General features: G+C 37.6%; 1 protein-coding gene across 1 annotated transcript in view; it reads right to left on the bottom strand.

The window, feature by feature from the left end:
• Window positions 1-16,765, bottom strand: part of CTNNA2 (catenin alpha 2) — a 1,463,404-nt gene that overhangs the window by 1,155,152 nt on the left and 291,487 nt on the right. The gene's annotated exons all lie outside the window — the stretch shown is intronic.

Here is a 16,765-nt window from a genome sequence, read left to right as displayed (position 1 = left end):
TTTGTTTTTTGAGATGGAGTCTTGCTCTGTTGTTGCCCAGGCTGGAGTGCAGTGTTGCGGTCTCGGCTCACTGCAACCTCCGCCTCCCGGGTTCAAGCGATTCTTCTGCCTCAGCCTCCCGAGTAGCTGGGACTACAGGCATGTGCCACCACACCTGGCTAATTTTTGTATTTTTAGTAGAGATGGGGTTTCACCATATTGGCCAGGCTGGTCTCGAACATCTGACCTTATGATCCACCTGCCTCAGCCTTCCAAAGTGCTGGGATTACAGGCACAGTCGGCCAATATTTTTATATACCAGATTATGTCACTAGTAAATAGAGATAATTTCACTGTCTCCTTTTCAATCTGGAGGCATTTTCTTCCTTCCTTTTTCCCTTCCCTTCTCTCCCCTCCCCTCCCCTTCCCTCCTGTTTTTCTTTCTACTTACTTTCTTACTTTTGCCTCTTTGTCTTGGTTAGAATTTCCAGTATGATGTTAAATAACAATGGAAAGAGCAGTTATCCTTGTCTTGTTCCTCATTTTAGAGGCTTAACCCTGGAGTTTTTGTCTATGCCCCTTGTGAAGTTTAAAAAGTTTTTCCCAATCATAGTTTGTTGATGGTTCTTATAATGACAGAGCATTTGATTTGATTAAGTGGTTTTTTCTGCTTTTATTGCAATGATGTTGTGATTTTTGCTTTTTAACTATTGATATGGTGGGTTACATTGATTGATTTCAGATATTAAGCCAACTTTGCATTTCTGGGAATAATCCCACTGGTTGATGATGGATAATCTTTTTTATATGTTACTAGACTCATTTTTCCAGTATTTTGGCGAGGATTTTTGCATCTATGTTGGTCTATAGTTTTCTTTTACTGTGTACCTTTGCTTCTGATATTGAGGCAATAATGGTCTCAAAGGATTAGTTGAGAATTGTTTTCTTCTTTAATTTTTGGGAGAGTTTGTAAAAAATGTGTATTAATACTTCTTTATATGTTTGGGCTTTTATTTCATTTTTAAGATTTAGCATGCAAATTATGAAAGTTCAAATTTAAATCCCTTGTGCTTTCTTAATCTTTTAAACTTAGATTATAAATCTTATTATATTTTCAAGTATTGCAGTCAGCTTGTACATAATATGAACAATGTTTTGTCCTATTTAAACAGTTTAATTACTTTCACATTTCAAAACATAATTATACATTCTATATGTTTGATTTTCTCCATAAATTTCATTGTCTGATTAGATAGAAAATCTACCATATTATTATATAATTCTTATAAATGCAATAAATAACTTTATGAATACAGTGAATGCAAAATTCTTTTAGGTGATCCAACACTCTAAATACATTTAGTAATATTAAACAAAATTCCATTTGTAAATTTATAGCTTAATTACAAATTCTAAAATTAGAGTTCAATATGGTTATTCTAATAGGCCACATTAAAAATATGTAGATTTACTAAAAATATAAATAGTATGAATATTAAAATACATAATATTAAACATTATAGGTACATACAATATCAATTAACAGGTACTATTTAAGCACAAAATATTACTACATGATTTTGATTGTCTCAAAATAATAACTACTCTAATTATTAAATGCATATCTATTATGATGACAAGTATATGTGGAGCTAGATAACGCATTTTTGCCTCTTTCTGGTGATCCATCTGTACTGTAGGGTCTAGACATCCGAAATCTACAGTTCCCAGATGTCCTTACAATCAGGGTCCTAAGTGCAAAATTATTTCATCATATAGAGGTACTTGAATCAGATTTTTAAAACCTAAATAAGAACAGGGCCATCTTCTTACACATATTTCTGTTGCTGCTTAAAAGCATGGTTGTATCTAGGTACTAGCTCTGTGAGTTTGGTGAGGCAATGGTGTGGTGGCAGCAGCAGCTTCCCAAATCTCTCTTTCTCTTCTACAGTGATGTGATCCTGAACTCAGCAGTTCTAGTAATAGGTCCAGATTTCACATCTTTCTGATGGAAAGGAGGTTACAACTCTTCTGGAGACACAGTTCAGAGTTACTCTTCTGAGAAGCTTTCCTCTGGACCCTGTCTAGAGCCAAGCCCTTCAACTCTTCCAGGGATTGTTTAAAGGCCCAATTCCCAGTAATAAATCCCTTTATGCTTAACATAGCTAAAATAGTTTCCATTTCTGTTTCTTGAATTCTGTTAACTTTGGCTATTTAAATCTAAATCTCCTTGGTGTTTGAAGCTGTGTTCTCAACAAAGATGGTATATACTCTTCAAATTACCTAAGATTTCTAACAACTAAAGATTTAAGCTGCATATGAGTCCTGGAGTAGCAGAAGACAGAGTGATTCATCTACTGCCCAGACTGCCACATTGAGCCCCCTTTTTTAGTCATTTTGTGATGGGCTTCAAAGTCATATGCAAGTTGAAGTATAAATAAAATGGATACTTAGAGGAATAAAAGTGTAAAACAATGAACTTACAAGAAGCGAAGTTCAGACCTGTACAGAGTAGGCAGACAACAAATGTTATTGAAAGATCAACTAGTGAACCCCAGATTATTTTCAAATTTTTTTCCTCTTCCTCTATAATTTTGCAGGGTTTTCATCCATTACTGTGCTTTGATGGGAAGCTCTCTCTGATATAATAATTACAGTTTCACAGAAACTGTATGTGCCATGACAATGCATATAACCACTTCTACTACTAATATCCTCATATCACAATGGGGTATGGGGAAATAGCAATTATATTCTCCTGGATTCTGCTGGGAAGTATGTCCAAAACTTCTGCTCTTACAAGATTTTCTAAAATGCCTGGATCTTCTGGCATCCTTGTCTCCTCTAAGGGATCATAACATTTCTCAAGATCAATAGAAAAATAAAAGCCTTTGAATAAATAGTTCTTCAAAATGAATTATTTCTAGTGAACTTTAAAGCCTAAGGCCTAAGTGTGAGAAGTCTAAGTCTTTGCCTCTCACACATTTCAATAACCATTCATTGTGTTCTTTTTGCCTCCTGTATTCAGTTGTAATAACTCTTTCTTGAAACAATAGATTCTTCATTATTTAATGGTCTAAAAGATGGACGGTCATGTTGTAAGCAGAAATTACTGGGAGTGAGAGGGAAATAATCCAAATCTCAAAATACTACATATATAGCATATTGATGCAGTTTAAAGTGGAAACCCTTTTCTGGGAGTCTTCAGAACAGTACTGACTCATGTTGAGTTTATCATAAAAAACACAGGATTGGATGTGCAGCATCCAATGACAGATGGCTACTGAGGTGAAGCAGAGACCCACTCCCCAGGGCAAATTGAAAACCCACCTCAGAAATGGAATTATCCACAGCAAAGACAGACCGGTATTTGAAGGCACAGGGCCAAAGAATATGCCAAACTGACATTTTTATGCAAGCTTATATTCTGATTCTACAGAAAGGTTAAAAGAGCAAGAAATTGCAGGTAGTATATATACTATGTATGGTCAGCTTGAGCAATATTGAAATCTGGGAATATCAAGGCATGACTCCACAGAGTGGATGGAAATACTGAAGGTAAGATTCAGAATATTTTATTGATGAAATTGGCAAGAACTAGGCCACCAGATGAATGAGCTGGGCTTCAGTCCTAGAATATTAAGCAAGCAAACAGCAGAGTACAGAGTGGAGATCAATGCATAAACTGAAAATTACAGTGACAATGAGACGAGGGGCCATGAGTATTCCCTGCCAAGAGAAGTAGGACCTAGAAGCAGGAGGTCTTACCTTTTGCCCTTGTCCACTCTCCACATATTCCCACTCTGGGTAAGGGGAATACTAGTCTGATTAAATCAGATTCCAGAAAAATGATTTTGCCTAGTTATTGAGAAATTGCGTTATACTACATCAGATGTTCATAAACATAGACATGCCTCACTCTGTTTTCCTTTCTTCCTCAAATTCTCTGGGATTTCTTTTCATTCATGCAATAGAATAAGCAAAATGAGCCAGGGTCTGCCTCCTTGGGGTAGATACAGTTATCTTATTCTTTCTCTTTGTAATGAAAAGAACAAATTGTTTAAAGAAGGTACTGATCAATGTTAAGTTTTAGTCATTTTTGGACATCAACTCCAAGCCCTGCTTACCAGAAAGCCCTACATTATCTGAGGGTACAAGCCTAGATCATAATAATTGAGTGATGCCTTGTTTCTCACTTGCCATTATTCTTGTGTAAATATACCTTTCCTCCATGAAATCACAGGGAGGAAGGATGGCTGAAATAGAAAATGATTTAGATATCCCCAAGTCTTTTGACTATAATCCCATTTTAAGACCATCTAATCAGGTTCTGGACCCTTGGGATTAAAATGAAATTTCAGGACATATTTAGTGCCTAAAAATTAGCAAAGGAAAAATTTGATATCAGTTACCATACCATTCTTATAGAGAAAATAATGAGTAAATAACTGGACAGAAATCACATTGAGAAAAAGAGAATAAAAGGGAATGAAAGGGACCAAGTAAACATGATTATGTTTAAGAGAACAATAGGAGACACAGCAGATAATAGAGTAGAAGCAGTAGGAGCAATACAAAGAGAGCCGAAAGTGCCATGGAAGTCGATAAAGGAGAGAATGGGGAATGAGAAAACTGTCAGCCTGGTTCCATGCTATAGAGATAAAGTAGAGAAGAAAACAGATAAAAGGTTAATTAGATTTAGGAACTAAAATATTGTGGACAACTTTGGACATGCAATTTCAATAGAATGGTAGTGATATAAACAATTGTTAAGAGCTAGAATAGCTCTTACTTTTGGAAATGTAGGCCCAAAATCTAGTGAAAGGACAGACAGGAGAGGCTTTCTGAGGAGGGCTGGAAAGTGATGAAACCAATAGCATGAGAGGAGAGCCTAAGATTTGTATAGAATTTGTGCAGGATTAAAAATACTTTCAAGAAATTGTTCATTGAGAAGAGCCCAGTGGAAAGATTTTAAGTAGTAATACAAAAGTTATACTATAATCCAGAAGGTTCTGAAGGAAGTCAATGTCACAGATGAACAATGTCTATCACATGCTCTGGTATACCAGCCTAACAGCCTTGAAAGATACTCAGTTACTCAGTTAAATGAGTTGATTTTGGTAGTTTATGCCCAGTGTCCACCTATGTTGGTTCCTGATTATCATTTCTGTCCTCAGGAACAAGGTGTTTGATAATCTAGTCTACACTTTTTGTCCAAAGTCAGTGAACACTTATTGACATTGACCTTCACTGCAGAATGAGTAGAAATCTACTCATCAGAAGGCCACACATGTGTTTGAACTGTGTTTTTTTTTTTTTTTTTTTTTTTTTGAGATGGAGTTTCACTCTTGTTGCCCAGGCTGGAGTTCAATGGCGCAATCTCAGCTCACCACAAACACTGCCTCCCGAATTCAAGTGATTCTCCTGTCTCAGCCTCCTGAGTAGCTGGGATTACAGCCATGCGCCACCACGGTCAGCTAATTTTGTATTTTAGTAGAGACGGGGGTTTCTCCATGTTGATCAGGCTGGTCTCGAACTCCCAACCTCAGGTAAGTGCTGGGATTGCTGGGCCTCCCAAAGTGCTGGGATTACACTGTCTGTCTTTTTTAACATCCCAGATTTTTCACTTTAAAAATGAAGAACTAGGACCAGAGAGTATGTTACTGATCCCCAAATCATTAAACACTTTGTGTCGTAAGCCAAAGCCAGGTACACTTTCTGATTCATTCTGAAGAATTTTGCTTATTTCCAATTTATTATTTACTTAATATTCATACCTTACTCTTTTAGTTATCTATTGATATGTAATAAATGAATCCCAAAACATGGTGGCTTAAAGCAACCATTGATTACTCTCTCTTTCATTGTTTTCTGGGTTAATTGTGTTCATTTGGGTAGTTCTCACTCAGAATTTGTCTATGCAGTGGTAGTGAGATGTGAGGAGCTGGAGTCATCTGCTCCCCAAATGAGCTGATCGTGTTAAATGGCTGACTCACATGATGGTGGCTGAAGGCTGAGAGCTCAGCTGGAATGCTGAGAGCTCAGCTGCAGCTGACCACTGGAGCACTTGCACGTGGCCTCTGTGAGTTATGTAGGCAACTCCCAGCGTGCTATCTGGGTTCTCAGATGGAGCTCTCCAAATGAGCACTGCAAGATTCCCCAGAGAATGTTACAAAGTTTCTTATGAGCAAGGCTCAAGAGTCCCAGAATGTTCACTACACTCTGTTGACCAAGCCAGCCACTTAGGCCACTGATTCAAGGCTAGGGAAATTAGTTTCTACTTTTTATATGAGAAGCAGCATGTTTATATGAAAAGAAACAAATTGGCGGAATTCATCTTAGGGCACCATCTCCCATACCCACTTATGTTTACAATAACTAAAGATAGTTTTTTGCAACGTATAGAATATTTACAATCTTTCCCTTAGACTTGCTATGTCTATTGACAATTTCTCATTCATCATCAAATCTACTGTTACAAGATCACGAAAATGAAAACATGAAATTTCCAAAGTTAAGATGGTTACATGTTAATGCATCTTTTAAACTGCTTTGGAATTATAGGGCTAAATTTTTTAAAAAGCATTAGTAGTTTTTTAAATTTATTATGTTTTCCTCTTATCTAGATAATTGAGCAGAACTTCTATGAAGTAAATATACATGTATTCTTTCTGTGTAGCATGCTGCCTATATGTAGCATGATTTGTTAAAGTAGTTTTTCTTGGTATTGTTGCTACAAAACAGACTTTAAAAATATTTCGCCTATTTAAATTATACCAGCAATACGAAAGTTAGTCTTGCCTGAGTTTTCAGCTTGTCGGTATAATCATTTTAAATAAATGCAAATCAAAACCACAATGAGATACCATCTCACACCAGTTAGAATGGCGATCATTAAAAAGTCAGGAAACAACAGGTGCTGGAGAGGATGTGGAGAAATAGGAAAATTTTTACACAGTTGGTGGGACTGTAAACTAGTTCAATCATTGTGGAAGTCAGTGTGGCGATTCCTCAGGGATCTAGAACTAGAAATAGCATTTGACCCAGCCATCCCATTACTGGGTATATACCCAAAGGACTATAAAACATGCTGCTATAAAGACACATGCCCACGTATGTTTATTGTGGCACCATTCACAATAGTAAAGACTTGGAACCAACCCAAATGTCCAACAATGATAGACTGGATTAAGAAAATGTGGCACATTTACACCATGGAATACTATGCATCTATAAAAAAGGATAAGTTCATGTCCTTTGTAGGGACATGGATGAAGCTGGAAACCATCATTCTCAGCAAACTATCACAAGGACAAAAAACCAAACACCGCATGTTCTCACTCATAGGTGGGAATTGAACAATGAGAACACATGGACACAGGAAGGGGAACATCACACACCGGGGATTGTTGTGGGGTGGGGGAAGGGGGGAGGGATAGCATTAGGAGATATACCTAATGTTAAATGACGAGTTAATGGGTGCAGCACACCAACATGGCACATGTATACATATATAACAAACCTGCACGTTGTGCACATGTACCCTAAAACTTAAAGTATAATAATAATAAAATAAAATAAAATAAATCATTTTAAATCAGCTTTCACTTTTGTTTGAGTCCTAATTATTCTTAATTGAGTTCTCAACTTCTCATGGCCAAAAATGATTCTACTCTCCACTTACACGATGGTCATCCAAAAAAGATCATCAGGTTCTCTGAGTTAAATATTTTTTTCCTCAAGGAAACAGAAAATTTGCAAGATATCCATAATGAAGTTATAAACTTCCTATTTAGGAAAAGAGGACTATGCATGACATTACTGCCATGAAAATCACATTTCAAAACCTGAAAAGAGATCTATGAATCTAAAATAAAGGGGAGATGTTGCCTGTACTGAGCAATGAGGCCTACATCAGTTGCTGGCATAATTTTCCTACTTCATTGATATTGTCCAACCTACCAAGGCATGAAAGTAAAGGCTACTGGGTAGAGAAAGCAACTGTGTGGCAGTCAGAGTTGTGGCTCTGCTGCTCTCAGTGCCTATCATGGGATGCTTTGTGCTTCTTTCCACATCCAAACAAGGTTAATAAAACTTGACCTTTCTTTAATCTGGTCATTTGAATGATGAAATAAAATGAGATTTCAAAGCGATTTGCAAACTTAGGAGCAGTATAAAATAGAGTTTCTTATGATTGTCCCAAAATAAATTTCTAGTGTGCATACACATTGTACATTAATTTACTAGGTAGAAACATTTTTGTTAAGCATGAGTAGCAACACTTTAAAGTGAATCTTCAAAAGCTCCTGATTTCTTGGTATCCCTTTAGTTTAAAATAGCTCCTCTGTTAGATGCACAGTCCCCAGATAAATTGCATGCTGTGATTCTATTATTTGTTTAAATTAAAGAAAAATTGTATTTTTTTTTTACTTAGTATAAAAGCATTCCTTGATCATAGGAAGAAAATTTAAATGTATAAATAGATCTTTTGAAAAAAGAAGCATATTATTCTACTACACAAAGTTAACAACCATTAACCATTTGGTCTGTTTCTATAAATATCCATCTATAACCTTCATATAGATAAACACAGAGAAAGAGAAACTGATGGCTATCTATGGTATATCTGTTTTATTTCTAGCTCTTTCTATGTAACAATGTAGTATGTTCTGGAAAATGAAGTATGGCTGGTAAAGGTTTTAGAATCTCCCCTATTTTCAAATTTCTGTAGAGATAGCACAGGAAATTTGGACAAGAAATTTCTGTCCTCATTAGGAGAAATCACAGAAAATGACATTCAACTAATGGAAATCTTAAGGAATTATCAAGCAAGAGTAATGTAAGAGGAGTGAGGACAGGAAAGTAATGTGTCATAGACCCACCATTGCTGACCACACTCTTGAGAAGCTTCCTGTGGACTACACTATGCTTAGGAGAGCCTACAGCTACCAGGTGAGCTCAGGATAGCTCACCTATAAAAGTATTCGTGTGCAATACGCCTGAGGAGAAGCCTGTCCATCTTTCATCTCAAGCACCTCGCCCTTGCAGAGGAAGACCAGCTGGTTACCTACTTCTAGCTAATACCCTTAGAGAAAGACCAACCATGTTGAAACCAGAAAAGGAATTTCTACATTAAATTAAATTAAATTAAATTTTTACCTAATTGCTTCTAGCTGCATTTAGGGAGGAATCCTCTGTTTTGTTTCCACCTATATGTGTAGGTCAGAGATAGGAGTCAGACCCACTTACCCCACCTCACCATGCTTTAAGGTCAAGGAAGTTCAGCAAAAAGGGATTGGCAATCTACATGAGTGCTCATGAAAGCTATATCAGCCACTCGTTCTAAACAAGTCACACATTTAACTAATTAATTAATTAACATTTATATTTTATTTTATTTTATTTTATTGTGACAGGGTCTTACTCTGTCACCCAGGCTGGAGTGCAGTAGTGCTATTATGGCTCACTGCCACCTCAATCTCCTGGGCTCAGGTGCTCTTCCTACCTCAGCCTCCCAAGTAGCTTGCAGGAAAGGCACATGCCACCATGTCGTTAATTTTTGTATTTTTTATAGAGATAGGGTTTTGCCTCGTGGCCCAGGCTGATCTTGAATTCCTGGGATCAAGTGTTCTGCCTGCCTCGGCCTCCCAACCATACATGTATTTTTAAACGCAGAAGTCCCTTGCATGCTGGACTTATCATTATGGTGTCTTATGTTGATATTCAAAATAGGTCCTATGAAAAGAAGTCATTCTATGAAAAAGACATTTGTACACACATGTTTATAGCAGCATAATTCACAATTGCAAAAATATGGAATTAGCCCAAATGCTCATCAGTCAACAGGTGGATAAAGAAAATGTGGCATACGTATACACCACGGAATACTACTCAGTCATAAAAATAAATGAAATAATAGCATTCGCAGCAACCTGGATGGAGGTGGAGACCATTATTCTAAGTGAAATAACCCAGGAATGGAAAACCAAACATCATATGTTCCCACTTTTAATGGAGCTAAGCTATGAGGATGCAAAGGCCTGAGAACAATACATGGACTTTGGAGACTCCGGGTAAATGTGTACAAGGGAGATGAGGCCCTCGGTCCACCAGCCCATGGGGAACTGGATCCTCCCAACAATTACTGAGTGAGCTCAAAATCAGATCCTGTCCCTTTTGAACCTTCAGATGGTGGAGGTTCTGGCTGATACCTTGATTGCAGCTCTTGAGAGAACCTAAAGAAGAGGAGCTGGCAATGATGTGCCCCTTTTCTGATCTGTAGAAACTAGCAGAAAGTAAGTCTGCATAGTTTTAAGACACTAAATTCTGAGGTAATTTGTTATGCGGTAATAACTAACCAATAGACGAGGGCACTCGCTTTGGCAAATGAAATGTAGATGGGGAGATGGATGTCATTTCTTTGAGGAGCTTTAAAAGTTAGTGTATTGCTCAACATATTTCTTTTCACTGTGTCATGTCAACTGGTGATGTTCCAAGTGGTGGCTGGATTCTGCCAGGAAGGCACATGCAGCAGAGCCATAAGCCAACATGCAATAGAGACATAGCACACATGGGAAGTAAACTTTTGTCTTACAAGCTGCTAAGATTTGGTGATTATTTGTTGAACCAGCATGCACCAGCTCAGGTTTGCCAGTGTTAGTGCTGTTGACAGTCTGCTGGATGATTCTATGTTGTAAGAAGCTTTGCTATGTATTGTATGACTTTTAGCCACATGCCTGACCACTAGCCACTGGATGCCAGCAGCATTGCCCATGCACTCCTCCACCAAAACTATCTTCAGACTTCACCAAAAAGCCCTTGGGGATGAAATTGCCCTTGTCTGAGAACCACTATTCTAGTCTATCCTGACTGATAAGGTCAGTTCTCTCTCTTCCTCACTGTCTGCAGTTCTCTTGGCATAAATGAATTATTTTGCCCTGACTGAATGCTGGTGAATCCTTCTTTAGCTGCCAGTCATACCTAAATTCTTTTTAAAATAGGCTTTTTACCTCTTTGAATAGAGTTCTGAGATAGGAACTGGAACAATATGATGCTCTCATTTTTGGGTGTATGACCCTCATCTGGTTTAAAAAAAAAATTTAACCTGAGTAACATTTGGAAATCTAGGCTGATCCCAAGGTGTCACTACCAGAATAGCTGCGCTGCCACAATTCCTAAGCCTTTATGTTTTTCAGGCTCGGGCCAGGAACTAGCCCACGTTTCCAAATCCCTAGTACATTGTGCAAACTTCTGACTGATGTAGTTGAAGCCCTTCCCACTAGGTTTGGGGTCAGGAGAAAGCACCCTTCATCCCTGTGTGCATGTATGGAAGAAAGGTGAAGATACTTTTCCAAGGAAATGTATTTCTCCTATAATCTCCAACTCCTAATCCTTTGAGACCCTTGATGTTAGCTACAGGTTGAAATCACAAAACTAGCTTTAAAATTCCTGATGACCTTCCATTTAGAATGCAGTCTCTATTGTTATGAACCGTCAACTGAAATAGACACTGAAGTAAATCCATTATAGCATTCATTATAATATTGTATTTTCTGAATTAATTCATAGTATTTTAAAATTCTGAAAATAAAAATCTTACTCTGAATCTATGCCACAACACAGTCTGTTCAGCTCAGCTGACCAAAAGTATCATTTTCACTTTGGGTTTAATCTAGAATGAGTTTAAGATTTCTCTTTGCTGAGTAACATGTATGTGGCCTCTTCCATGTAACAAACTCCAGCCTACTCTTCAGTTGCTTCTCCTCCTTGGTTCTATCAAACCAAGCAGACTCCACTCTGGAGTTGAAGGCCTTTAGGATTCACATCTTCCGTCTGTCTTCTTCTTTTAAAGTTTTTCAAAGTCTATTTATTTATTTATTTTAACAGTTTTATTGCACTTTAATTGTTATTTAAAAGCTGCACATATTTAATATATACAACTTGATGAGTTTGGATTTATGAATACACCTGTGAAACCATAGCCACAATCAAGGTAATAAGTATATCTAGCACCTCTACAAGTTTCCTTCCATCCTTTAGGTTTTTGTTTTGTTTTATTTTGTATGTGTACGTGTTTGTACGTGTGTGTTAAGAACACTTACTAAGATCCGCTCTCTTAACAGAATTTTTAAGCACACATTACAGTATTGTAAACTTCTTTTTTTTTGCCTCTTGTATGATCTCAGGAAAAGAGACTCTTCCCATACTCTCTTCTCTGTCTCAGCACACCTGATCATGACTTCAAAATAAACCTGTTCTAGATTATTGCAATTTGGGAAATGAGAAAGTAGGAGACAGAGGGGCAGAGGCTAGGAAAAGGAGAAACAGAGCATCTTTTTGTTGTCTTTTCATTAAAATATAATCAGAGAGAACATAATTTTAGAATGTATTTTGCTAGACGACAAATTTAGAGGCACCTTCCTCAGAATGATTTTGTATGGCCAATCTAAGTTTTTCCGATTACATAATTATAATTTACATTTTAATCAGGGCTGGTAAAATTGCTCTTTAATATTCACTTTATTCATATTTAGGTTTTTAAAAAACTTTTTATTTATATGAAAAATTAGTGTGATTTTTGCACTTCTGGGAATTCATTTTATTATTTCCATTGAAATAAAAGATAATAGCTACTCTTCCTTGGGCCCATTTAAAAAAAACCCTACTAAGGACATTAATTTGGAGGTAGGTATATAATCAGACAGTAAAATATTTATCATCAGACTTTTGAAAAAAATCAGCTGAAAGGAGGGAAGCAATAGTGACAGTGAGTTCTAATATCCCTCAAAAAAACAAGATTAATGATGCAAACCACGGAAAACGTTAAGAAAATTGTTATTCATATCTTCAGTGAGATTAGAAAGGTTGCTGCATTCAAAGAGATTATATGGTCATGGAAAAGAAAAAAATCGAAGTACCAGAGTGTTTAGCATAAAACATTATTGCTGAAATTAACCAGAAAATCACACAGTGAGCAGAATGGATATTGCTAACAAAGAGATTAGTAAATTAACTTGAGGAATTATCTAAGAATTCAGAAAGATATTAAAAAGAAATGAGAAAAAAGATAACAAATGTAGAAGATGCATCTGAGAGTCATGATATTTATATACCAGAATTTCCAGAAAGACAGTACAATGTTAATATAATAGAACCAATAATTTAAGGGATAATAGAAGATAATTTTCCTGAAGAAAGATCTGAGTCTTCAGACTAAAAAATTCTGATTAAGTATATGGATGCCTAGGACAATAATTCTCTACATGCATACAGTGAGAAAGATCAATTAAGAACTTGGTGTTTTTTATGGTTTGTTTGACCCCTCCAAATCTCATGTTGAAAAGTAATACCCAATGTTGGAGGTAGAGCATAATGAGAGGTGTTTGCATCCTGGGAGTGGATCTCTCATGAGTAGATTAATGCCCTCCCTGGGTGGGAGGGAACTACGTGAGTTCTTGCTCCATCAGTTCTCAAGAGAGTTCCCCAGAGAGCTGATTGTTAAAAAGAGCCTGGGACCTCCCCCTTCTCTCTCTTGCCTCCTCTTTCCCAGGTGACCTCTGCATATGCTGGCTCCCCTTTTCCTTCCACCATGAGTGGAAGCACCTTCAGGCCCACTCTAGATGCAGATGCCAGTGCCATGCTTCTTGTACTGCCTCCAAAACCATGAGCCAAATAAACCTCTTTTCTTTGAAAATTATCCAGCCTCAGTTATTCCTTCTTTTTTTTTTGAGATGGAGTCTCACTTTGTCGCCCAGTCTAGAGTGCAGTGGCATGATCTCAGCTCACTGCGACCTCCATCTCCTGGGTTCAAGCGATTCTCCTGCCTCAGCCTCCGGAGTAGCTGAGATTACAGGTGCCCACCACCATGCCGAGCTAATTTTTTCATTTTTAGTGGAGATGGAGTTTCACCATGTTGGCCAGGCTGGTCTTGAACTGCTGACCTCAGGCAATCCGCCCGCCTCGGCCTCCCAAAGTGCTAGGATTACAAGTGTGAGCCACCACACCCAGCCAGGTATTCCTCTATAGCAACACAACTGAACTAAAACACGTGGTTTTATATTTGCAGTATGAAATGCTTGATGATAACCCAGCATTGTCTAGAGAGTTCTGAGAGAAACTCACTGAGAGCTCTAGTATTCTACATCCAAGTAAATGTAATTGTATTTAAATTTTCACTATAGATAGTAAAATGCAATAGATATAACATTCTGAAAACAGGTGCCAGACCAAAATGGAAAGTTTCAAGTGGTTCAGGTGAAAATATACTTTAAAACGTCTTAAATGCTTCACATTGAGTCAAAGAGGGTTAGCGGGTGCATTGTGAAGTAAAAAGGACATTTTGAGGAAGGTGCTGGTGTCCTATAAATCCAGCCCATCAAGGGGACTTGGACATGGCATCCTGTCTCATAGCTCAAGTCTAGTGAAAGGGATTAATGAGCATCAAAAACAGATTTAATGCAGAAAACTAGCTAACTTTCATAATTTTAAATGCATTGAGTTTTCTCAGTGAACTTCAGGAAGATGGTAACATCAATAAAATATGACTAGACCATGTAAAAAAGGAAAAATTGGAGATCATGAATTCTTACTATCAAAAATTGACAAAATAAAGCTAATATGCTCATATACAATTGATATTCATCCCCTTCAGTAAGGTTGATACATTAAGCTGGTTTCTATTTGGAAATCTAAACAGCAAAAGCAGGCTGGAAAGCTGCTCCAGTGGTGGAAATGAAGGTAGTAAAGGTGAGACGGTGATGTGTAATGGCCTTCACTTTGAGAGTCTGTTAGAGCAAAGGATGTATGACTATTTCCAGTGGGCCAGTTGGGTATTATACTACATGCTCAGGCAAGCATCGTAAGGGAGATGTTGAATATAACTGCAGATTCCAAAAAGGGTAGAGGTAAGTATCAAATAAGGCAAGAATATATTACCTGAGTCCAGAATATTATTAGTAAGAGGTATGAATTAATGGCCAAAGGGTATCTCCTAAGACCCACCATACTTGTGCCAGCCAAGTATAAATATTTCTTCCTTTCTTATCTTCCTCTCTGCCAGTGTCAATTGGGTAAGTAACATAAGCTGCCATAAGAAATGACCCCCAACCTAATCATGGTTATTTCTCATTCCCATCATAGCTTAATTGGGTGTTGAGTGGGCAGTCTCCTTCTATCTGATCATCGACGAAGTTAGCCACCTTTCATTTATTGACTCTGCCTTACAGTGTTTCATTGTGTTTCTAAATCTGGCCGGGAGATAATGAAATAAAGTATGGAAAAGACACACTTAAGAAATTCCATTCTAAGCTACCTAAGACCGCTATTCATCACTTCCATTTGCATTCCACTAATAAAAATTAATCACATGGCCCTAACTAGATGAAGGGAGGTGGGATACTCAGGAAGGAGAAATGGGTTTGTTGAGCACGCAGCTGGTTGCTTTTGCTTCCAACCTTCTGCCTTTAAGCTACAGCTCCAAAGGGGTTGGAAATTTAGTGGGGGAGGAAGAATTGGGAAGAGAATAGAAATTAGCTGTTCTTTGCCTTTTTTAAGTTGAAGTAGTACTTAGTTGAAGGAAGGAGAGGAACTGTAACTTTAAATGAATTTGGAAGTTTTACTAATATGTGGGACTGGGAATTTTCAGTAGCAACTTGACTTTATGATTTGTGTCTTGAAATTTGTGGATTTCCATTGCTTAAAAGTAACTACAAAAGATGCAGAAGTATCAGACTTTTCATTGCTGGGGCAAAACTAGTCCCACAGAGCAAAGTTAAAGGAAGTATGTGGAAATACCTTGTGATTGCATCCCACCAGTTGGGCTAGTTTAGCATACTGGTTACATAAATTCCCATGTATTTATTTTAAACAGTAACTAGCGTATTCTGTTCCTTTTCCGTGTGATTACCTTCATTCATGGCTAGAAGCCCTGGGCTTTTGTTAACTCTAGAAGGGGTTGTAAGCTTACAGGCCAGTTATCAAAGTTGACAGATTCTTGACTTCTGGGCCACCAAAGGCACCATTGAGCTGTGAGACAGAAAAAACTGCCTAGGAAATGCAAATAGGCAGAACATGTTTTAAAAACACATTTTTTTCTCCTTTATTCACACATCCACACACAACCACAAACACCAGAAATCAGAAATCAGGGAGGTAAAGAAGGGAGTTAGAGATCATGCAATGGGCTGGGTGTGATGGCTCATGCCTGTAATCCTAGCACTTTGGGAGGCCAAGGCAGGTTGATTACCTGAGGCCAGGAGTTTGAGACTAGCCTGGCCAACATGGTGAAATCCCTACTCTACTAAAAATACAAAAATCAGCAGGGTGTGGTGGCGGGTGCCTGTAAACCCAGCTGCTTGGGAGGCTGAGGTAGGAGAATCATGAGAACCTTGGAGGCAGAAGTTGCAGTGAGCTGAGATTGCGCCACTGTACTCCAGCCTGGGCAACAGAGTGAGACTTGGTCTCAAAAACAAAAAAAAAAAAAAGAAAAAAAAGAAAAAAAAGAAATAAAAAGAAAAAGAAATGATGCAATGAACTCATCTCTATTAACATTAAAACTCTGTCAAGGAGATGATAGATTTGTCCCTTGATATTTAGAGGACATAGGTCTGTAAAAACACTTTTGTTCTGTATTGTCATAGGGACTATCTTGAAGGTAGTAGTCTAGCATTAGAACTTATGACCAAGGTCATATGAAGTAAAGGCATCTTTAGAAAGTAAAGACATGGAAGTAAAAACATCTACTTAGGGTTTTTAGGCACAAGAAAGACTTGAAATTTCCCACCTGTCT

The sequence above is a fragment of the Homo sapiens genome, chromosome 2 (assembly GCF_000001405.40).
Source record: "Homo sapiens chromosome 2, GRCh38.p14 Primary Assembly".
Classification (NCBI taxonomy): Eukaryota; Metazoa; Chordata; class Mammalia; order Primates; family Hominidae; genus Homo; species Homo sapiens.
The sequence above is the reverse complement of the archived record's forward strand: the minus strand, read 5'-3'. Positions and strand labels throughout refer to the sequence as shown.